Consider the following 25,224-nt stretch of genomic DNA (forward strand, 5'->3'; position numbering starts at 1 on the left):
CAGTGAAGAGGCAAAGGGCATACTTCCCCTTCATCCTCTGAAGGCTGGCTAAAAATCAACTAACAGAAAGGCAGATTAATAGGAGAAAAGGAATACAAATGGATTAACATACATGGGAGCCATACAAAACTATAACAACTCAAATAAATGGCCAGATGATTGACACTTTTATACCATTTTGAGGATACAGAAAGAATAGGGGCCTGGAGCATGGCAAAACAAGTTATGGGAGGGGGAGAAGGCGAGGTCTAGCTAACAAAGGAGGTCTTGCTATATAGATGAAACCTCACCAGTAGTAGTAGCCCTTGGAGAAAATAGATGGTGAATGTTTCTTTCAGACCTTTGAAGATGTCAGACTCTCAGTTCACTTTTTCTAGATCCAGACAAGGGAGGGCCCACAGAGAAAGCCTGGCTGCATCAATGCAGATTCTCTACAGATGCAAATCTCCCCCACAGGACAGCTTTGCAGGGCTACTTCTTTTTGTAGGCCCTCTGAACGGCCATCTCAAAATATGTCAAAGAAGAATATTTGTTATCGAACCAAACTGGGGCCCACTCGCCCTGTATAGCAATACCAGATATCCACACCAAGGTTTTCAGCGGGAGAAAGGAAGGTGTTTATTGGCAGGGTGCCTAACAAGGAGGATCAGGCAGCTCATGCTTAAATCCTGACCTCCCTGATGGCTTGCAGGTAAAGATTTTTAAAGGCGGGGGTAAATTTCAGAAAGCAGAAGTTACAGGCAAAATTGTAAATCAAAACATGGAGGTTCCACATTGGTTTTGGCCTAAAAGGTCAGAGTATCTTGAAGCGGAGGACTTACAGGTCACAGATTTTCTGATTTGCAGTTGGGTAAGGAAGAGAAGCTTTGTTTAAAAATGTAGGGTCAGCAGAAAAGAATGTTAGCCTGGGTTCATGGGCATGACTTTTTTCAGGCCCCTCAGGAGGAAGTGTAAAACAAAGAATGTTGGCCAGAGTTCAGTCCTCCGTTCCCCCTTACCAGGGGCTTCTGTGCCAGCAGATCTATTTGGTGGGGGTCTGGGTTTCTGAGACAGAACTCAGAGACATATGTTAAGATGTTAGCTTTTGTGCCTATAGGGGAACCAAACATCTTGTGATTCTAGCTTCCTTGGCTGCTATTACCTTCTTGCTCATCAAGTTTCTTATTTACTTCTCAGGGTTAGCTACATGCCTGGAATTCCCCTTGAAGGAACTCAAGATTTTCCTTTATTTCTATGCTTGGGGAGCCTGCAGGTCCCTAAGAGGGGATCCCTGCTCTGTCTTCTATTTTGGGGATAAAATATTTTGGTTTCCTTTACCAGCAAGAGATAGAAGAGGGTTTATGTTTTAGGGACAATTTTCACATTGAAGAAAATAAGATGAAGAAAATTTGAGGCATATGTCAAAAAAACTGAAAAAGTTATAATAATTGACCAGAGGACTTTGGGTCCTTAGTATAAAATGAGTAAAAAGTAGCAGGCTTGGAAGAATTAAAATGAGAGCTAATCAAGTCCAGTGATATCAGCATTTGATTTAAACCTGGACTGTCTTCAGTTTAGCACTGGTTAGAAGCAAGAATCCAGAGTCAGATAAACTAGATTTAAGTACTGCTTCCATCACTCACTAGCCTTGTGACCTTGGACAAGTTATCTCCCATTTCTGTGCTTCAATTTGCTTATCTGTAAAACAGGTAAGGAATAATTACAGTACATAAAATTGAGTTTTTGTGAGGGTTGAAAGAAATAATTATGTAAAACGCTTAACACAATCCTTAGCATATAGGGGCACTCTACGTTAGTTGCTGTTGTTATATTTATTATTTTCATTGTTAGCTTCATGAGCATGGGAAGGCTATTATACTACCTTTGTGGGAAGCACGAGATCAGTTTTTGTTGGTTCTTTAGGTCCTGAATTACTTTCCCTCCCTATTTATTAGATTTATTGATTCTTAGGAATAAGAGGACAAGGAAATCTAAATTCATTCAAATAATTCAAATCTAAATTTGCATTCAAATAAAGAATATTGCACTCAAATAAAGAATATCAGAAAGAAGCAGAGGAGAGCAGTGGAAATAAGTATTGCTCAACAAAATCTATAAGGACTGTTGATAGAAACCTGGTAACTTAACTGATGGAGAAGAGAGATGAAGAATAAACCAAATTCTATACATTCAACTGTATCAAGATAGTCAGATCAGAGATTTGGAACTTCTATTCACAGACAATTATAATCTGCCAGACTAGGAAAGGATTCTTGCATCAATGTGAGCACAATGTATCGAGCTAATGATAATTTGTGCATCATTCTTGTTCATAACTCACTAACATTTGACAATTGGACCAGGTGCAAAGGCTTGAGAGGTGGCAGCTCTTTTCCTTCTTTCACGTAATGTGCCATTGATTAATAATCAAACAGCTTGCATTTTGGAGTAAGTCTCCACAGACAACATCATCTAAGATGGATGTTTTGGTGTTCTTCCTATTTCTTGAAGTTTTTTTTAGAAAGATCTCAACCTTCTAGGTTAGCATTGTGCATTGTGTTTTGACCAAAAATTGTGGAAGCAATAAAATGTAGATAGTGTTTTAACTATTTTGAAGACAACTTTTCCGTAAACAAATGCAAATATTTTGCTTTACTTGGGGGGTGTGAGAGCCTCTTACATTCTTCACATATTATACTCTTAACTAAATCACTTCAGTGTATAACTGGAAGGGGCTATTAGAGACATTGTGTCCATAACACTTATTACAGGAATTTGAAATTCACAGGGTCAAGTGTCTCATCCAAATTTGTGTCTTCTGATATCTGGCTAAATACTCCATATGTTTGTAACATGAATATATTCTATTTTAAGCAATCAAAACAATGCAAAAGTATATGGAGAACAAACCTAATTCTCCATTCCCAACTTTCAAGTACAATGGCCTTTCTCAGAAGTATTTTTTTTGTTCCTTTCTATACAGTTAAATTCTCTTTATGCTATATTATCTTGCTTTATAAACAATTACATCTTTACTGCTCCTTAATGGAGTTCTCCAGTTATATATGTCTAAAATCCTGAAAAGCGTGACAATATTTATTGACAATATTTTATTACAGCTTAATACATAATTTGCATAGATGTCAGGCATTGCTTTCTTCATTTTATACAGAGGAAACTGAGAGTTTAGGTAACTGCCTATGTACCAAAAGTGATTTGATTTAAACCCCAAACTTTGATTAATTACATAATCATTCTTGAAAGATGAAAATTGTAATCTGTATTATATCTTATTTTTTTCAAAGTTTTCATATTTGGTGCAATTACTAATAACTTTTTTTCAGATATTATTCTTTAGTGTTTATTTCCTTTCTTAATTGGGAAGATATGCAAAGCCCAGTAATTGACTAAACATGGTAAATATAAATTTGAATGCATGTACAATACAGTTAGCTATAGCTATTAATACCTATCTATGTGTAATAATTGGAATCCTCTGGTTATTTCTACTCTTTATTTCTACTCTTAAAGCTATGAAGAAGAAGTTTTTAAGACTTTAAAATGGCCAGCGATCTCTTTTGACATTGACTGAGGTAGGCAGCATAGTGAAATGGATAAGAACGCAAATTCTGAAGCTAGGTGGTCAAATCCCAGAGGTCAAATTTCAGCTCTTCTGCTTTCTACTCATGTAACTCATGAGCTATTCTGCTTTCTACTCATGTAAATGTGTCTCAGAGTTCTCATCTGTGATAGGGGGATCATAATAACAGTACCTTCAGCAAACAGTTGTTGTGAGATTAATCCATGTTCGGCATTTAGAACAATGCCTGGCAATTCTAAGAGCTCAATGACTGTTAGCTGTCATTGTTACCAAATTCAGCACTAGTGCAGCCATGCAAGACCAGCCATTCTGTATGCCCACTGCTGCCTTTTCTTGGCACAATGAAGAACATAACAAAGTCAGTTTGTGTGACTGGCTTGTTTCACAACCTCCTTAGAACACTGTCAATTTGAGTATATGAAATTGCATTCACCTAAACACAATGCCTAAAGACCCTTAAGTAATTTAATTGTTAAAACACTTATAGTATAGACATTGATCTCCTACTGAGACTTGAAGCTTCAAGCTAATGGGAAAAAGAATGAAGATTCTCATCTTAGATAGTCTGGATGGTGAAAATAGAAGTCCAACTAACAAAATGTGTTTTAACCAAATATTATTTTTGAAAATCACTTTCAGAAGGTAATTCTAAGTCTGGAAAATTCTAAATGGAATATCACAAACCTAAAATGTATTGTGTTTACATTTGCTTGTGTCATAATAGTAAAATGATTTTTGAAGTGTCTATAATATAATATACCTTAGAACAAAGTATCAGTGAAGCTAAAGTCACAAGTTTAAAAATGTGAAGAACCAATTTTAAGCTGCTATTTAAAAGATATCTAATGTTCTTGATTATATGGGCTAGGTTTCTATAAATGTAAAGTTCCATGCAACACCTGCTATTTGGGCAAATACTATGTGGGCAGCTGTCTCAAATATAAGTCTTGAGAAGGGCTAATAGGTCATACTTTTATGGGTCAGTGTAGTGTTCCCCTATAATATAAATCTTTGATTCAATATTTTAATATTCAAGTGATTCATTAATATATGCAAATAATTTACATTGATTTAATTTAAATTTTAATCTGCAAATATGCCCTCTGGAATCAGCCCGATATTCCTAGTTGGCTAGTTTTAAAATTTTAAAATTAATTCCAGATTAAATAGATCAATAGATTAAATGTTAATAATTGTTGAAAAGCATCCAACTAGGAATATCAGGTTCTTTGCAGAGGAAACGTTCCAAAAACCACTGCAAACATCAGTATTCTCATTAAAGGCAGTAACAAGAAAAGGATTCCTGTTTGCGATACTATTTGACATTGCAATCAATCCCTAGCCAGTGCAATGAAAAGAGAAAGAGAACTATGAATATAAATGGAAAAAGAAACGACAAAATGCTGTTTTATTTATTTTTTTTTTTTATTTTTTTTTTAAGTACAATTTCCATTTTATTTTTCTCCAGAGAATAGCCTGTCTTCAGTCTTTAAGAACTCAGCTCCTTACATGGGCTTTGGTGGGGGACGTGGGGCAGCACCCGCAGGTCTAAATCGGGGTGGGGGTGTTCGGTCCTTGCGGGCTTCACGAGATCGATTCCTGACTACTTTGCTGTGAATTGCACAACTCACACAGTAATGTAGCTTCACATACAGCTTGGGAAGCACATAGGCATCGAAGACGCTCGCTTCAGAAATGTCCCTGACTGCTGCGGCCTCCACTATGTTTCGAATGACGAATTTCTTAATGGCCTTGTCCTTGGGCACGCATCGGGCACAGTTAGTGCAGCGAATAGGCTGCACGTGGCCGCGGCCCTTTTTGGCACGACCATTGTTCCTTCTTTTCTTTGTCATCTTGGAGGCACGGACCGGAGAGAGGAGCCAAAATGCTGTTTTATACAGAAGTTATGATTATTTAAATAAACAATCTGGAAAAATCTACAAATCAATTAATAAAATATTTATTACATTCATTAATTTATTAAGAGCCTGTTGCTTATAATATTCAATACCATGAATCACAGAATTGTTTTGTCATGGTATTTGACTAATATTTTCTTCAGCCTAAAGGTTGACATGAATCATTCTGTAAAAAATTTATTACTAAGAGTATTAAGCAGCAAGTTTTTATGTATGAGCATGGTAGGTTAGGACTTTAAATATCCTATCTGAAATTAGACTCGTGAGGCAAAGGTCAAGGCATCAGAGGGTGCTTGCATGACTAACTTCAACTATATTTTTTATTCTTTTCAAATCACTGGGAAATTTTTGTGTAATAATTTTGAAATGCCATGAAATCATATCACTGTGAAAGTACACATCATTTCACTTACAAAAAGTGGCCCTTTAGAATGGTGGATTTGCAGGAATCAAAACACATGTGAACCAACAATGTCATCAAAAGACATTTATTAACTATTTTATTGTACAGGAGACTCTCCTGTATGTTGTCTGAACATAACTGGGTACAATCTTTTAAATCATACCCCTTAAAAATGTTATGTTTAAATAACATATTAACTGGAAGACATGAATAGCAGGAAACATACATAATATAATAAAACCTTCACATTAAAATAAAAAACAACATGGGAGAGCAAAATAAAGACATTACTAAGTGAGGTAAATGCAGGAGCAGGGCAAATCCCACTCTACTTCTGAACAGGAGAGGAAAGGCAATGAAATATGTTTCATTAATCCACTATTTGTGTGACCTTGGGCTTATTACTTAACCTCTTAGCGACTCCATTCCCCATCTGTAAAGAAGGGATAATAGTATTTACTACAGAGGGTTGATATAGAGATTAAATGGGTTAGTACACTTATAATGCATGTAATAAGTGCAATATAAATGTTAGCCACTTTTCTAATCATTAGATATATTTGTATTATCTACTTAAGTTATTGAAGAAATAAATTGACTGGAGTTGAGAACAATATTGCCCAAAATGGCTAATTCTCCATTGAGACTGAGAGATTACTATTTTCTGGAGTGGGGAGTGGAGAAAAGATTGTACAGAAGTTTCATCTTTTGTGATTAGCAGCATATTAACTTTACCTTGGTATAACATAGTTTTGGAACACAGGGCCTGAATGTGAATAATTAGAAAAAGCATTTGCTACAAACAGCCAGAAAAAAATGAATATATTCATTAACTATATACCATATGCCAAGCACTGTTCTAGCTCTGAGAATGCAACAATACAGTCTTTGCTTTGCTTTCTTAACTTTTGGTAGTTAAACAGTTAAACTAAAAACACAAAAACAAAAACAAAAAAACCCACTTTTTTTCTTGTGTTATCTTCATCTACAATTTTTCTATCTTCTATTATTTTATCATAACTAATATTTTTAATTCCAGTATTTACTTAACAAATTTATTTATACACAACTTAATAAGGAAAGGTATTATTTGTCTCTTCTTATACATGAAAAGCACATTTTGAAGGCTGAAAATAAAGGATTATCTGCTTAGAAAGAGCCTTTTTTCCCAACTGTTAAATCGGGCTACTCTGTCATCATTTTCTTGTGGTATTTCAAGTTTCAGATTCTAAATCTTCCACCTTACACTAGGAGCAAGCATTTCTGGCATAACTATTTCATCACTAATATTTATCATCATCTTTCAATTGACTGAGAAAATGACTAAAACAGTATAAATCTTCATAAATTATTTGGCAGTTTATTGTTACCTCCTGATTTTATAGTCAAGAACTGTTTGAGGCCAAGCTACAGAATACTCTCAGCAACCTCAGACAATAAACACTTTCTCGAAGCCTATGCGTAGCACAGTTTATAATGCCAGGAAGGGGAAGCACTATATATTGACATATCTCATTCTAATTTTAGACTTTTAAAGGTGCTTACATCTAAACACCCTGATTCTTTACTTAGAAGAATTGGTGAATACTCACTTGCCATAGCTAAAAGAAAGATAAGGAGGTAAGAATCCTGTTGATTGCCAATGAAATGCCTTATGAAGGCAATTAGGCCTGTTAGGGCATCATCTTTTGAAAGCACAATAATAAATATCATTTCAGAGGCCAAAATAATTATTGTTTTGTGCAGTCTTGCTCCAGTAAACACATCTAACAGATCATCCTTATCAGTTTTTGGGGGTACATTTTGAAGCCAATATACCCAGGAAGAACAACACTCAGAACATATTTTTGTTTAAAATCTGGCTCTGAACACAAGTATAACGAGTGGGCAGAGCATACTTAGGTCCTTTTAAGTAAGAGCTTTGAGGAGCAACACCTTCCCTTAAAGTTATTGGGGCCCAATTTGTAGCTTTTGTACTTTGGGATCAAGAATTTTATCCATCCAGATTTTTAAGGCAGTTCAAACACTATTTTTTTTTTTAAAGGAAAGGCTTGCTATAGAACGTCTTTGTTGGAATGAGGCAGCTTCTGTGTCAGTAAGGGTACATCACACTCTACAATTTTCACGATTTGCATGAATCAACCTTGCCACATCATATGCTAATCAGAGCTTATTCCTCTGATGAAAACTTACCTTCATTTAATAGTGATTCTTCCCTCGACACATATGAGAATTCTTCCAAAGAACAGCCACCGGTACACTAGACAGCCAACTGTGTGTTCTCTGTCCTTTGTATGAAATCATCATTCTAGATGGCCAAAAACAAAAAGCAAGTTCTCCTTTATCAAAATATGAGAACTCCCATCTCTATCACATTTCCCTTTTTTCTGTGGCTGCCAAAAGCCCAAGTGTTCAATTATTGTACCTCGTTCATTCTGAGTTCTGGTTACCACCACTAGAGGACTACAACTAAAGTTTGTTCGGGGTTGCACTTATAGCCCTATCTTGACTGTAGATATATATTTTAACCATATATATATAAAGTGTTTCAAGTAGCCTTAAATTTTTGAATGTGAATGTATTTCAAGGTATAAATTATAACTAAATACTCCAAAGCAGCGGTTGCCAAGGACCGATTTTGTTGAAGACATTTTATCCATGAGCAGCGGATGGTTTCAGGATGAAGCCGTTCTGCCTCAAATCATCAGGCATAAGATTCTCATAAGGGGTGCGCAACCTAGATCCCTTTCACAGGCAGTTCATGAGAGGGTTCGTGCACCTGTGAGAATCTAATGCCATCTCTGATCTGACAGGAGGTGGAGCTCAGGCGGTAATGCTCACTCGCCGCCTCTCCCCCGCCCCGACTCACCTTCTGCTGTGCGGCCCAGTTTCAGTACCGGTTCATGGCCTGGGGGATGGGGACACTAAGTCTCGGTACCGAACTGAATGGTTCCATGTGTTGTCTACGTGAGGTTTTGAGTCAATGCGTTGAAGATGTTTATTCTTTGAGGTTTTATCTTTGGCAAGTTGTGAATTAGAATTTGTTAAGCAGCTGCTAAATATTGAGTATATCACTTTTTGTGTAGTGTAATTGTCTTCTCCATCTCAGCACTGTCTGGGCACACTGCCTGCTCTAACTGCCTAGCAGCTTTTAAAGACCTTGGATAAGGGTAAGTCAGCACAGATAAAAACCCACACTTAGTAATGGACAAGATCTATAGTAAGACTTTCATTGTGCTTAAATTGCTCTGTTGTTCAAACATTATAAAACCTATTTATAACCCCTTGTTCTAATGCTCTAACCTTTACTGGTAAAATACATGTAATATGATATGAAACAAGACTTTGATTATTTTCAAAACTGTTAATACCAGACATGGAGTGAGAATAGCATTATAATTCTGACGACTGTTGAGAAAACACAGCAACTATTTTAGAATCAAAAAAATGAACCTTTTTCTTTGGAAAATTTTTTAAAATTTGGAATCCCCTTGGAATGTGTCAGTATATTTGTGTCAGAATGCATGTTTTAATTTTTGAATTGCCCTGCAAAGTTAATTGTCAGTTTAACAGTAATCATTAAATGACCAAAAAAAAAAAAAAATGACTGACATTGATGAAGAAAGCAATAACTTCATTTGATTGGAGATTTAGATTTCCTGGGTGTATATCTCAGGCGATAAAAAGTGCTATACTGCTACCATCTATATTTATTAACAAAGCCAAGTCTACTAGCTGCAGTTGACAGGAGTATAGGAAATGTGACTTTAGATGAGTTGGTCTAACCATATCATATAGTGTTTTGATGTTAGGTGTGTTTTTAAAAACTTGGAGCAGCATTTTATTTTCTCAAAGACAGTTAAGTAGAAATAAGAAAACTATTTGGTAGTCATTCATTTAAATAATTTTGGGGGGTGTAATGCATGAGAGAAGTAAAAGAGTTATGGCTTATTCTAAGTGGTTTAATCTAGAAAGTCATTTTTTATTTTTATTATATTGAATCAACCTTAAAATGGTAGAACAATAACCAGTTAAGTTAATACTGTAGCTTAATGCAAAATAATTACTTCAGGTTAATGGATTTTGCTCTGTTGGGGGAAAATAAAAGCACCCTATAGCGATTGTTATTGACTTAATTTTCTCAATGCCATAGGCCTATACAAAGTAGTCAGCATTTTTGCTTTTGGAGGTAACACATTTTCTCTTGCTTCTAAGTTACTAGGTCATGTATTAAATTGCTCAATATACCTATTTTAATGCACTGGCTACATGCTGAGCAAATTATACTACATACTGAAGATCTGAATCTAGTAATCTATGTTGTTAGACAATTTGAAAGTCTAGAAAAGTTTCTTTAAGGAAATCTACCAGGGAATTAATTTCTACCCAATTTCAATATTCAAATATTTATTAACTTTACACTAAAATTTCTTCTCTGACATTTAGACATTTTCATTACTTTTATAACAAATTGGGTACAACAACTGTAAAATTTAATTTTTATTATTTAAATTAATTATGCATATAAAAATAAAGGCATTTATATATTATTATAAAATTTTATGTGATATGGTGAGCAGCACTTAATCTAAAATAAACTTAATATTTCTATTGACAACTTAAATAAAAGCATTATACATTACAAAAAACAATGAAGAAAAGCCTACTGCTGTGTATCTTATTTTGTGTTTTCCCCTCACACAGAAAAAGTATTTTTAAAATCTCATCACTTGCAAGAGCAGATTTACTTTCTTACTGAAAATGATCCACCTGCTTTTTTGTAGTTTAACCTCATACTTGAAAATCTATTTTAGATTTTCTCTGCAGATGATGTGTCTCAGGGTCACTAAATAATATATTTTAACCATAATAATGTTAAATTATGTTTTTCTTACTATTATTTCTGTGACGTGTTTTATGATACTCTTCAGATTTCCTGGAAAATGCTCCCTTATAAACTAATGGCAGTGGTACAAACTATATTTTGGTATATACCAGACTAGGATATACCAACTAGGATACCTTCAATCACAAATAAGAAAAACAGCTCCTCATTAGATAAACAACAAAAAGGGGGTTTTCTTGGCTTTCATAAATAAAAAATGTAAATGGGTATAATGAGCTCTAAGATTGCCTCCTGCCCATCTGGTGGCTCATTCATAACCAAGGACTCAGAATTGTTTTTTTCCTCTTTGCTATAATTTCTACAGTGCCAGTTTATCCTCACCTGGCTTTCCTTGTGGTCCTAGGATCGGAACCACACATTTTCTTGTTCAGACTCAAAAGAAGGGAACATGTCTGTCCTAGCTTTCCAAAAGAGAATTCGAGTTTGGTGGATTGAACCAGCTTAATTCTCTTGCTCAAACTTAAACCAGCATTACCAAGAGAATGTAATCTGCTGATTGGCTTAAGTCATTTGATAACCTGTCTGGGCCTAGGAGATAAGGAGAGAAGTTCAGCTTTATTGTAATTATGTGAATCTTACTGGAATTATATGGGGAAACATAGGTACTCTAATGAAAAACCAGGATACTTCCAAGAAAGAAGGAGGATCCTGGGTAGGCACCTACAAATACCCACTTCTATAGCTTGGATATTCCATTTTTAAAAAGTTGTATGTTTTGTTTTTTTAAAAAATTTATTTGTTTTCTTTTTAAATTTGTTTACTTTCTCTATGATTTTTAAAATATTCATTTGCTTTCTTATTTTTTGTTTGGAAATCCAAAGACATAAAAAACAGAATTATTCCATCATAGCTTAACAGTTTAGCAAGGTCTTTGTTCATTTTTGCAAAGTGAAACAGAGAGAGAAAAATGTTTTGGAGTTATGTGAGAGTAAATAAAGCATTACTAGCCATCTCAACTTTTCTGTAGAATGGGGTGATGGTAATTCAGCTATTAAATTCAAATGTTGAATAAAGGAGAAAAACACAAATCTAAGTCATCTATAATTGTCAGGAACTAAGGAAAATAAGGCTAAAAGTAAACTTTTAGTCAATCAACAGCTATTTATTGGACACTTACTATGTTCTCAGCACAATGCTGATTTCTATGGAGGATTCCAATCAAGTGTAAGAGAAGAAGCTGCTTTCACGAAGTGTATAGGCTACACACAAAGTCAAGGTGAACACACAAGAAACAAAGGCAAGCAACAGAAGACACTCTTGGTACTAAATTATATGGAATAGACTGTGTACTAGAGAGGAAGATTTGGAATAGCCTAGATTTTGTTAACGAAAAACTCACAGAGGACTGGAGCCAGGCATTGACTCGTAGATAAGGTCTGCAGACAGGAAAATGCAAAGGAAGACTTTGCAGATGGGAAGATTAGTAACAACAACGTGAGGAGGTAGAATTGAGCATGTGAGTGTAGAAATAGTGGTGAGACAAGTTGGTCTGGAGCAACATCACAATATGTATTAAAGGTTTGTTTTCATTATAACTTACTGAGTAAAATGGGGCAAGGATATAAAAGGTCTTGATGTTCAGTTATTGTCTATGAAAACTGATCTCCAGGGCTGGGCGCGGTGGCTCACATCTGCAATACCAGCACTTTGGGAGGCTGAGGTGGGCAGGTCACTTGAGGTCAGGAGTTTGAGACCATCCTGGCCAACATGGTGAAACCCTGTCTCTACTGAAAATACAAAAATTAGCAGGCATGGTGGCACAGGCCTGTAATCCCAGCTACTCAAGAGGCTGAGGCAGGAGAATCGCTTGAACCCGGGAGGCGGAGGTTCCAGTGAGCCGAGATCGTGCCACTGCACTCCAGCCTGGGGGACAGAGTGAGACTCCACTTCAAAAAAAAAAAAAGAGAAAACTGATCTCCAGTCACAGTCAGTAAAATGACAATGTAGATAAGTAGTTTGTTGAAAATAGATTTTAAGAAGATTAATTCAGGTTGCTGTATAGGATGCACTGGAATGAGTAACTGGAAACATGCAAAATAGTTCAAATGCTTTCTTGGTAATTTATCCATGAGAAGCTGAAAGCAGGGATCATGGTAGACCCAGAGAGAATACAGTATTTTCTTTCTGTTTGCTGGCAATAACCAGACATGGTATAATATCATCTGTGGAATTTGCTGTTAAAACACATGGCAGAATAGTGTAGTTGAAAGAACATGAATTTTGGAATTAGTTAAACATGGGTTCGAATCCCAGCTCCATGTTTTAAGTAATGTGAAACTTCAGGCATGCTTCTTAATCCCTGTGAATGCTAATTTCCTTGAGTCATATAAAGATACAGTATTTGTTTCAATGGACTGCTGGCATTAAATAACGAATGTAAAGTGCTTAGACTTCTCTCTTCTTACTAACACCACCCAAATTTCTTACCCACTGGAAATAAAAACTGGAAGAATTCCTATGTCTAAGAAAACATTTGAACATTCTTCATCAAGCAGGTCATAGAAATTCCATAATGTCACAAGGCAGAGCTTTCCAGCTCATCCCTAGTAAATGGCTTAGGTGAAAGTAAAAGGAAGTTAATTGTCCAATTGCTAGATAAAAGTACAGGTGTTCTCTGAAACAATTTTTTTTTTTTTTTTTTTTTTGGCAACAGGGTCTTGCTTTCTCATTCAGGCTGGAGTGCAGTGGTGCAACCTCGGCTCACCGCAACCTCTGCTTCCTTGGTTTCAGCAATTATCCTGCCTCAGCCTTTTTGAGTCTGAGGCAGTTTGATCCTTATTGAAAAGGGCAGCTGAGGGAGTAAAAAGAGTACTGAGTTTGGATCCCTTTAGGGTTCAGATCTTGGTCTCACCACTTGGTGTCTCCTTGGGTGGATAACTGTGAGCCACAGTCTCATTCGTAAAAGGAGCCTAATAGCATAGTTGTGGATATAAAACAGGATGACACAGTAAACACTTGATAAAACTTAACCTCCCCAGAAAGATTTAGGACATTAGTCATTTTAATGTCATTGGATAGTTTAACTATGAACTAATCTTTTAATCATCTTTGGAGAGAGGAAAGTAGTTAAAATAATTTATAATATCCTAACCCTGGCTAAGAATTGTCAACTTCAGATTATCTGAGAAAATGTATATGATACTTTAATTAATAGGATGCCTTCTTAACTATTAATACTAAACAAGTATATAATCATATATTTTGTCCTTTTCCCTTAAATGCTCCCCCAGAGTACACAAAGTAGTCTTTATTTTTGTGACTACAATTAGTACCCATTGGTTTTTTACATCCTTTGCAGCTGTGCCTTCACAATATATTTAGGGAAATAATTTGAATCATCCTGACCTTAAAGCTTGGTGACAATTTGGGGATGTTTTCCAACTTATCTTTCATAATGCTAATTCCAAGGAAGAAGAAGATGCATAGTTTCTGGGATGGGAATTAGAGTAGTATTTCCCAACCAGTGCTAACTGGAGTCTGTGAACATCCTCCTAGCATGTCGTGGTTAAGGCTGCTGAAGAGTTCTGCTCTGTGAAGAAACTTAAATCTTGACGTTGACCTGCCTGCAAAAGATGGGGTGCTTCTTCAAAAGAGGAAGTCTACTTACAAAATTTGAACCCAGATCTTTCTGTAACGATTCTTATTTCCTACTGTTGGACTTGGTTATGTAACTTATTGAGTGTGTTTTCCAGTAAATATAGAGTATATAATACTCTCAGAAAACTGGAAATAGCACATGGAATTAAGGGTATTGTAAAGATTTAGAGCTGTAGATTTTAGAGGTTCCAGGTAAGATAGCATTTGAAGAGCTAAATGACTACAAAATCTGAAAATAAATGTCTAAGATATGAGTTTCTTTTCCAAACAGAAAGGAAGCATACAAGTTGTAAGAGATGTGGTTGGCAGGGTAGGTGAGGGCCAGATTATGTAAGACTGTATTAGACTTTATGTCAGTTGGCTATTGCTGCATAACAAATTATCCCCAAACTTAGTGGGGATATTATTAGCTTAAAACAGCAATAAATATTATCATCACAGTCACTGTGGAGTGGTGGCTTAGTTGTGCAGAGTTTCTCATAAGGTTGTAGTGAAGATGTTAACCAGAGCTGAATTCACCTGAAGGCCTTTCTAGGGCTAGAGGATTCCGTCCAAAGCTGATTCTTTCACATGTTTGGCATGTTGGTGCTAATTGTTGGTAGAGGGGTCAGTTTCTTCCCCCTGTGAGTCCTTCCATAGGCTGCCTCAGTGTCAGCATAACACAGCAACTCATTTCCTTCAGAGAAGATGATCCAAAAGAGACAAGAAGGCAGAAGGGCAGTGACTTTTAAACCTTAGCCTCAGAAATCACGCACCATCAATTCTGCCATCATCAGTGCTTTAGAAGCAAACTACTCAGATGTCCTCCATTCAAGAGGAGGGAAATTTGGCTCCACTTTTTGAAGTGAGGAGTGTCAAAGAATTTGCAGGTGTATGTTAAAACCACCACAGGTATAAAAAGGAATTTGAATTCTGTTTTACTTTATTCCTTTATGTAACAAATATTTACTGAACACCTACTAAGTGCTAAGCATTTTTATGGGCACTAAATAAAGCCTCTCAGAGAGAGTAACACTTATGTCGAGGCCTGAAAGATTAAGAAGATATGGTAAGAGTTTCCAACATCTCTGCACTTGCTGTATCTGTTCACCTCCTATTCTCTCCTGAACCTCTGTAACTGGCCAGTCTCCTTGGTGGTTACTCAATCTCTGGGTTAAAAATTCCTCAACTGTAAAATGGTGACATCTGTTTCAGCTGCAACATTTTCATCTAGGAAAATACGGCAGTTTCTTTTAATCACTGAAATATATTTAATAAGCTTAGCAATGTAACATTGAAAGTAAAAACAAATAAAATGAGTAGTTTACACAGATATTTTATGTAATCATTTGAAATTTCCATAATCATTTTCTACTCTTGTGATATATTTTAGAGAATGTGAATTAGCTTATGCATCATCTATGAAATTACCTAAGGCCTATCTTTAGCTGAGTGGTAATATTGTAGTTTTCTATATTAAGTGGTAAAATTGTAGTTTTCTATATTAAGTTCTGGCTAAGAGATCTTTGAAGTTTTTTTTTTTTTTTTTTTTAATTTTAAGACCTGTAAGAATTCCTTTTGAGATGCATTCTTGCACTGGCTTTTACCCATGCTAGTAATTTCTCTTACTGTTCTTTCACTATTCATTAGACTCAGGTTTAGAGGACAAAATTCCCCAAGTGAAATATGTGTCTGCAGCAAAGACACTCATACTTCCCCTACAAACACCACATCTTTTGAGAGACAATGGAGCAAGAAGAGAAAAGAACAATAAAGAACATTCCACTTTCTCTGTATCTGCCATCCTGATTTCATTTAGACCTCCTAATGTTCTCTCTGATCTGTGTGCATGGGCCATAATATACCTTCTTCACGGAGTTAATTGCTCAGTCTTTAGTATTCCAGCAGCATTTTATTCATGTTTCTCTTTTGGAAATTATAGTATGTCTGGAGCCTTAAATGATTCTATATAGATGTATTCTGTGAATTGTCATTTTTTTTACTCTTGAGAGCAGGACCCCCCAGTGCCTAGGAATAATTTTTAGAACAAATCTGGTGCTATAAAGACTGTTGAAAATGAATAGTCACATTTACTCTTATATTAAGATAAAAGTAATTTTATATGATCACTCTTTTTAAGCCAACCAAATGATGAATCTTCACTTGTGTAAGGGAAGAATAAAGTTATGCATGCCAGGAAAATAAAGGCTGAAAAGTTAAGATTCTTTAAAATTGATAATAATGACAATGCTTAGAGTTGAAGTTCTTATCCAAAACATTGGTGTTAAACCATTCATTACCTTGTATATTAACAGTATTTTTCTCTGTATAATTTCTTTGAAATGACTTATAAATATCAATAAATTTACTTGCTTTAAAGATTTTCCAAAAGCTTCATTAAATCTACATCTGATATGTAAAAATATAAATATTAGCTCTTGCACATTCAATTTGTCAAGATAATCCAATTACCAAAAGGAATTTTCACCATTGGCTAAAACCTGATTACTGGTTTATAGTCATATTACTAATGTAAATAGGAAGATATTTTTGTAATAAGTGTTTGAATTCCCTAAAATACAGCATGATTTCTATATTTGAAGAAAAGCATTATAGCTGTTTAATAAACCTGAGAACTATTATCAATGACTGATAAATAATACAGACTGAATGCAATGCTTATCTTCCTAATCGTGAAACAGAGTATAAATAAATGAAGAGTAAATTACATTTTAAAATACTAAGATCATATTAATACTTGTAATTCTCACTTCTTGGGATTTAACAAAAACCTGCTTTCCACTCTTCTGGACTATAGTCTGGCCTCTGTTTTCCAATGTATCCTCCCCATTCCTCGCCAAGTAATATCTTTAAAAATCAAATGTGTCTGTGTCAAACCCCCGTACAAAAACCAATTCCTCGCAAGGCTTTCAGAATAAAATTCAGACTCCTCAGCACGGCAGACAGGGACTGATCCCTGCCTATCTAAGCTGCTTCTCCCCAGTAACAATGCATTAATTGTAAGTTTCCGTATGTCCTGTGTTGTCTCATTGCACGGTGTTCCTTCTCTTTCAAATACCTTGCCTGCTTCTGTGTCTTCAGTGTCTTCCAGCTGTTACTCCCAGTAACTTCGTTCAGATATCATTTCCTTATCTAGTTGAATTATGGGTCTTTCATCTGTGTTCTCTTTATATCCAACACATAATTTAAAAAAACTAATTATATAGGTGTTCACTAAAGTGTAATACAGAATTTTGCTAACTTGTCCATCTCAGTCTCTGGGCTGTGAATTCTCAAAACAGGAACCTTGAATTTTGTCTCTGAATCATTAGAGCTGAACACAATGCCTAGCAGTGAAAAGTCACCAAACATATTTTTGTTGAGTAAATATAATGAATAACAAATAATTCATAGTTTTCTATGGACAGGAGTAATGTTCAAAATATTTAATAACCAGATGCTAGGAGCACCTGTTGGTCACACCAGAACTACTGTAACAACTGGTAATGCTGTACTTATTTCACCCACCCAGTATCAGCCTGGGCTGTGGATATCTTTGACTTTTTTATACCAAAAAGGAGAAAATGCATCTATTTTCATACCTACATGCAACTAGAGCCTTTTTAGAAACACACAGAGACATAAGGTGTTGGAAAGCACCTGGATGCATATACACAGAAGCCAATACAGTTGTGTTCTTAAGCTATTAATATGTGATGATAAATGCTTTCCTATAAAGTTTACAGTGGTGTTAAAGTGCTGCCATGCCTTGTCCTAATTACCCAGAGGCATGTTTCACATTCTCCAGTGGGCTATTTTTTGTTGTTAAATACCAGTAAGTTAAGAGAGAATAATTTCCACATTTTAAGGACCTGTAGTAAATCTTTATTGCCTTACTTCACATGTTTTGTAACAATAAACAATGCTCCGATCTCCCAACCAAAGCTTCCTTCATCTTTTATGTACACTATTGCAAAGGGTACTGCAGGAGCTGATTGACAACCTACTTCCATTCTTGTCTCCTAGCACCCCAAGCCAAGGCATCTGTTTTCACCAGAATGAACTTTCTAAAATGCAAATGTGATTATGGTACTTCCTACCAAAATACATTCAACTTTTCTGCATCACCTATAACAAACTTTTCAAGGCAATTTAAAAAAATGTGCTCTTAAAAAAATGCTCATTTTTGGGCTTTACACATGGAGACTCCAATTCAGTAGGGATGAGGTGGTAGAGTGGTACCTAGGCACTCTTAAAAGCTATTACAGGAGATTCTATCACACAGCCAGGCTGAGGAAAATTCATCCACAGGATGGAGTCCTAATACCATTACAGGGAAGAGACTATTCAGTAACTGCCACCTGCCTGTCACTCCCAGATCACTTATTAGCTCAAGACTTTGGCTTAATTACGTAGGTATTTGAGCCTCAGCTGCCTCAGTTTGAATGAGGATAATAGTACAAATGTTGCAGCACCATTCTAAGTATTAGATATAGTATTAGGTCATTTATCATCCAAACTGAGGCACTATTAATAATTACTTCAGGATACTATGATAAACTTGAGCTGTCCCAGACAAACTAGAGCACTATAATTTGAGGAGATACATTCAAAGCATTTTTTACAGTGGATATAACAGAAGCTCAATAAGTCACATTCATTTTTATCATTCTTCGCATTTGCTCCCCTATTCTGCTGGAAGTTGTAGCACACCAGGGTCATGGTGCAAGGCACACATGTGATGTTTGTGAAATGCTCTAACCAAGATCTTGAATGTTTGTCTATCATTACTCTTCTCCCCATATTCTTGATACTTTCTTCCTTGATTTTTTTTGTTTTGTTTTAACTTTTTATTTCCATAGGTTTTAAGGGAACAGGTGGTGTTTAGTTACATGAATAAGTTCTTTGGTGGTGATTTCTAAGATTCTGGTGCACCCATCACCCGGGCAGTATACACTGTGCCCAATTTGTAGTCTTTATCACTCAGCTCCCTCCCACCCTTTTCCCCCAAGTCCCCAAAGTCCATTGTATCATTCTTATGGCTTTGTATCCTCATAGCTTAGCTCCCCCTAAGAGTGAGAACATACGATGTTTAGTTTTCCATTCCTGAGTTTCTTCACTTATAATAATGGTCTCCAATTCCATCTAGGTTGCTGCAAATGCCATTATTTTGTTCCTTTTTATGGCTGGGTATTAGTACATGGTATATATACGTACCACAATTTCTTTAACCACTCATTGATTGATGGGCATTTGGGGTGGTTCCATATTTTTGCAACTGTGAATTGTGCTGCTATAAACACGTGTGTGCAAGTATCTTTTTTGTATAATGACTTCTTTTCCTCTGGGTAGATACCCAGTAGTCTCCCTTGATATTTTTTATAAACCTTGATATTCCCCTCTTTTCTCCTACTTTAGCTCATCTCTTTGTAAGTCCCAGGACAAGGAATGCAAAAGAGGCCCGCTTGCAATATATTTTTTTTTAAATTAAAAACTACATATCAAGCTAAAAAACGGTTAAGTATCTCCTACTTTGATGGGTAAATCATGACAGGTCCAAAATTAGACATCCTGGAATGCTTGGAGTTGCACACAGGACTGTGATGAGGGCAATGCCACTCCTGGGGGCCTACCACCCAGTCCCCTTTCTACTCCTATCCCTGACTCCATCTGCCTGACAGGAGCATCACATGGAAGGGTGTGGACACACCAACCTGCACATATTCAAGCTTTGTTCATCTCCCATTTTTACCTTCCCTAGCAAACAACTTGAAAGGTGTGTATTACATACCTGTTGCTACTGTAACAAATTACTACACCACCAGTGGCTTGAAACAACACAGATTTATTCTTTTTTAGTATTGGAAATTAGTCTTACAGAACTAAAACCAAGATGTTGGCATTGCTGTTTCCTTCCGGAGGCTCTAGGTGAGAATCCCTTTTCTTGCCTTTCTCAGCTTCTAACGCTGCATTCTTGGATCACGGCCCCGTTCTCCATCTCCAAAGCCAGCAGTGTAGCATCTTCTCTCCTCTTTGCCTTCTGTCTTGCTCTTGTAAAGACCCCAGTGATTACATAGAGCCTGTTTGGATAATCCAGGATAACCTCCTCATCTCAAAATTTTTAACTTCACATCTACAGAGTTCCTTTTGCCAAATTAGGTAGCATTTACAGGTTCCAGAGATTAGGATGTGGACATATGTGGGGGCCATCATTCTGCCTCCCAAAGGGTGTGCCTACCAATGGACACTTGAGAGGATGAACCCAAGGAAGAAGTGTGAGTGAGCACTGGAGCCACACTTGGGAACACGTAGGCAGGGATTCTGGTAATGGAGGAGCTGTGGGATCATGGTGAGCCTGTCCTCTTGGCTCTCAGAATTCTTTGCCCTGCCCAGCCAGAGGAAGTCCCTCTAAAGCTCAGGACCCAGGGCAGGGTCCTTTCTCAGGCAGGGACCTCAGCATGGTACATCTCCTTTCTCCTGCTGATCTGGCGACCTCTGCCTGATTCCCTTTCTCTTGATCTATCTACAAGACTGTCAGAGGAAAGCATGTTAGCAAATTGTTTTACTCTATTAAAAGTTCTTTTTCTCTTATTTTCATCCCTGCCTTTTGCTTGTCATGAAAGAGCCCCATTCCACACCCACTCATTGTTTTTAACCATCCTCACTGGCTTTCCCTTCCTTTGAATCTCTAATTCTAGCCTTCCGCCACCTCTTCAGTGTTCTTAAAATACACAAGATTTCGCCTGCTTGCTGTGTTTTTTTAAAAAATATGCTATCCAGCTAGCAAGTTATTCCTGAATCCTACAACGTTGTTAATTCATTCCTCTTATATTTCTTTTTTAGTTGTAAATTTTCCTCCAACATTTGAAGCCAGAAGATTTTCTTCTATAATCTTAATTTAAAATCACTCTACTTGGTCTACTTGTATACTCTGTCTTTATATTTTGCTGGATGTTGGCCATTTTAAATAATGTTTCCACACTTATACAATGTATACAGAAGAATTTTTATTTCCAAAAAGGTATCTTTAAAAAATGTTTTCTCCCTGTAGTCCCAGCTACTCGGGAGGCTGAGGCAGGAGGATCGCTTGAACCTGGGAGGCAGAGGTTGCAGTGAGCCAAGATTGCACCACTGCACTCCAGCCTGGGTGACAGAGCGAGACTCCATCTCAAAAAAAAAAAAATGTTTTCTCCTCTTTTAAGTTTTTAAAAATCTCTGAACGCTGATCTGTGTTTTTACTTATTCTCGTTAATGCATGGAAAGCTTAAGGAATCATCTATGTTTAAGGTCTGACATGGTTTTGAGACCTTATGAATTATTTCACAAGAAGGTTTTGTAGGTTTTTTCCTTAATGAGACATTACATATTCCTAAGGCTCTGATGAAAAGAAAATTTGCCCATTCAAATTTAATTTTAAACTCATGTTATACAATTTCAGTGATTTTAAAAATCTATGCCTATAATAATGTTATAATATTACCATAGTGTGTGCTCCATTAGGGCGCATGTGTCTGTCTTGTTTATCACTGTAGCTCCGTGATAGCCTAGCCACCAGTGGCTGTATTTTAGTAAATAACTGTGTAAGTGAATGTGAGAATGAATGATAGAATTTCAAAATGGCTTTAAAAAACAATATAAAGATGTTCCATATAAACCATGCTGCCTCAGTCACAACACTGAAATATAGACTTTTACATTTTCTTTTTTTTTTTTTTCTTTTTTTTTGAGATGGAGTCTCACTCTGTCACCCAGGCTGGAGTGCAGTGGCGCGATCTTGGCTCACTGTAATCTCCGCCTCCCGGATTCAAGCAATTCTCCTGCCTCAGCCTCCCGAGTAGCTGGGATTACAGGCATGTGCCACCACGCCTGGTTAATTTTTTTGTATTTTTAGTAGAGACAGGGTTTCACCATATTGGCCAGGCTGGTCTCGAACTCCTGACCTTGTGATCCACCCACCTCGACCTCCCAAAGTGCTGGGATTACAGGCGTGAGCCACCACACCCAGCCAAGACTTTTACATTTTCAATCAAATTTGTAGTCTCTCCTAGCCTATTCTGCTATGAGTAGTAAATTACTTCACTAAGGGTGCTAACTAAACTCTGTATATTCAAGATAACCATGGTCTGTTTAAATAGTTTATGAATGATAAATGCAGAAGATATTATATAGATGTTATTTTATAAAGATGCTATATATAGTGATAATTCCATATGTTATGAACTTATACAGATACTGAGATACCAAATATGCTAAAGACACTAAGATTTTTTTTTTTTTTTGAGACAGTCTCACTCTGTCACCCAGGCTGGAGTGCAATGACCTGATCTCAGCTCACTGCAACCTCCGCTTCCCAAGTTCAAGTGATTTTCCTGCCTCAGCCTCCCGAGTAGCTGGGATTACAGGCATGCGCCACCACGCCCGGCTAATTTTTGTATTTTTAGTAGAGATGCGGTTTCACCATTGTCCAGGCAGGTCTCGAACTCCTGACCTCATGATCCACCCGCCTCAGACTCCCAAAGTTCTGGGATTACAGGCATGAGCCACTGAGCCTGGCCACTAAGATATCTTTTACGCAGTGTTAGCTGACGAGAAATGTGACTCTCTGGTACTGAAATGAAGACTTTCCTCATTGCTTTAGGAATTGTGTATGGGGCTTGATTCACTGCGATTTTGTCTAGCTTTATAATGATAAATATGTGTATAATTTATTCAGTATGAAAGTATTTTACCTATCTTCCCTATGTCGAAGGTTTACTTCCTAGTGTTCTCTCTTATACAAATGATTGAAGGTGTCTTTTTTTATTGCTTGTCCTCAGAATGGCTTTACTCCTTTATACATGGCTGCCCAAGAGAATCACATTGATGTTGTAAAATATTTGCTGGAAAATGGAGCTAATCAGAGCACTGCTACAGAGGTAAGACTGTCAGCCCTAAAGCCTTGAATTCTTTGATCTTAATGTCCATATTCTTTATATCAGGCTGCAAATAGTCTCCATTACTTTGTCTAAAATATGCTAGGAATGTTCATGTTACTATTATAATCGCAACAGTGGCTGTGAACAAATGACTCAGGCTTGTGCACAGAGTTCCATCAGTTTATGCCTTCATTTTGGATTCGTGTCTATTTATTCTTACATAAAATCATGCTTCCATTAATTTTCCATCCTCTGACCTTTTAGGAGGTTTGTACCATTCTAAAATTCAATTACAGTAAATTCTACTCATCTCTTTTCACCAATACTTTATCTTTGTTAGGATCCAATATAATTCCTTAAAGGAACAATTTTTTTTACCATCAGAAATAATTCATAAGTATCTGTGTTAGCACAGTTTCATGAGGAATGTCATTAAAAAAAAACCCTGTACCTTATTGAAGCACAAATTATGACACATGGTTGTGTGACTGATTATGGCAACAACTGAATAGAATGTTCAAAATCAGTCTAGTTTTAAAGAGTTCCAGGACATCTAGACATAAGAAGTGGGAGTGGGCAGGGACCCTGAGAACATCAGTTTTCTTTCCTAAGCATTTCTTATTCCATTTTCTTTGTATTTTCCCTCTCATTTTTGCTTAGGCAGATTAAGGAGCAAGTTCAATGACTGTCTGGGGCAGTGATTTCAAGTGATGCTCCAGAAGCCCTTGTGCTTGGGGCCACTGGAAGGTTGGGAGTGGGCGACATGGAAGAGGAGAGGAAGAGAGCTCCCCTGAGACATGCCTCTTCTCACCTGTTTCAACCAGAGTATATGGGCTTGGCTTTTCTGTTTTTTTTTTTTTTTTTTTTTTTTTTTTTTTTTTTTTTTTTTTTTTGAGACGGAGTCTCGCTCTGTCGCCCAGGCTGGAGTGCAGTGGCGGGATCTCGGCTCACTGCAAGCTCCGCCTCCCGGGTTCACGCCATTCTCCTGCCTCAGCCTCCCAAGTAGCTGGGACTACAGGCGCCCGCCACTACGCCCGGCTAATTTTTTTGTATTTTTAGTAGAGACGGGGTTTCACCGTTTTAGCCGGGATGGTCTCGATCTCTTGACCTCGTGATCCGCCCGCCTCGGCCTCCCAAAGTGCTGGGATTACAGGCGTGAGCCACCGCGCCCGGCCTTTTCTTATTTCATATTTTGTGGCCCCACTGATAAAATTTCAAAACTCCTGGCCTGAAGTGAAAGATGACTGGTGGATTCTTGTTACCCAGAAACTATCTTAAGATAATTTTTAATGTCTAATATGGCTTCCTTTCTGGACAATTAAGTCTTGAGGACATGAACTCCCTTCTATGCTGCATTAGAAGGAGAGGTTATTAAAATGTAATAAATCATTTTCCAGTCCCTTTGGGAGAAAACTTTTTATGGAGCCAATTGCAACAAGTTTCTGACAGCTTATTCTCGTTAGTTAAAAAAAAAAATCCAAGAAATCACTATTAATGAGACCATGTTTCCTACCTATGACTGGAAAACACAACTACCCAGTATGAAATGTTTTTGAGTTCTCTATTCAATACACACAGATTTTATACTCTTGTCACTTGGATATAGTGTGATTTTTATGATTTGGGACCTTTTTTTCCCTCAGACACTAGTTCTGTCCATGATTACCATGGGAATATCTTCAGGCAGAGCTCAGGTAACAATATGAGACTGCATCTTTGCATCAGGGCCTCTGAGAAATATATCAAAATAAGGACATCTATATTTGTTTTATTTGATTTTGATTTCCTTGAAAGCAGAATCATTTACCAGATGAAACCTTTATGCTAGAGTGCTTCTATTTACCAAATAGACTTAAGGTTTCTAGTGTAGGATTTAGGAGAACTCAGCTCGCTGGCATTCCCAGCTGTCTCATGGCTCCTGGCTC

At 36.8% G+C, this 25,224-nt stretch overlaps 1 protein-coding gene and 1 pseudogene across 66 annotated transcripts in view; one reads left to right on the forward strand and one right to left on the reverse strand.

Moving 5' to 3' along the window:
- Positions 1-25,224, forward strand: part of ANK2 (ankyrin 2) — a 678,115-nt gene that overhangs the window by 503,339 nt on the left and 149,552 nt on the right. For all 66 annotated transcript variants that reach the window (NM_001386186.2, NM_001386148.2, NM_001354269.3 and 63 more), the window contains one exon: positions 23,201-23,299. In NM_001386186.2, the coding sequence (NP_001373115.1) occupies positions 23,201-23,299 (99 nt within the window). The remainder of the gene's footprint in view (positions 1-23,200; positions 23,300-25,224) is intronic.
- RPS26P25 (ribosomal protein S26 pseudogene 25) lies at positions 5,017-5,460 on the reverse strand (annotated as a pseudogene).

Source organism: Homo sapiens, chromosome 4, assembly GCF_000001405.40.
Source record: "Homo sapiens chromosome 4, GRCh38.p14 Primary Assembly".
Taxonomy (NCBI): domain Eukaryota; kingdom Metazoa; phylum Chordata; class Mammalia; order Primates; family Hominidae; genus Homo; species Homo sapiens.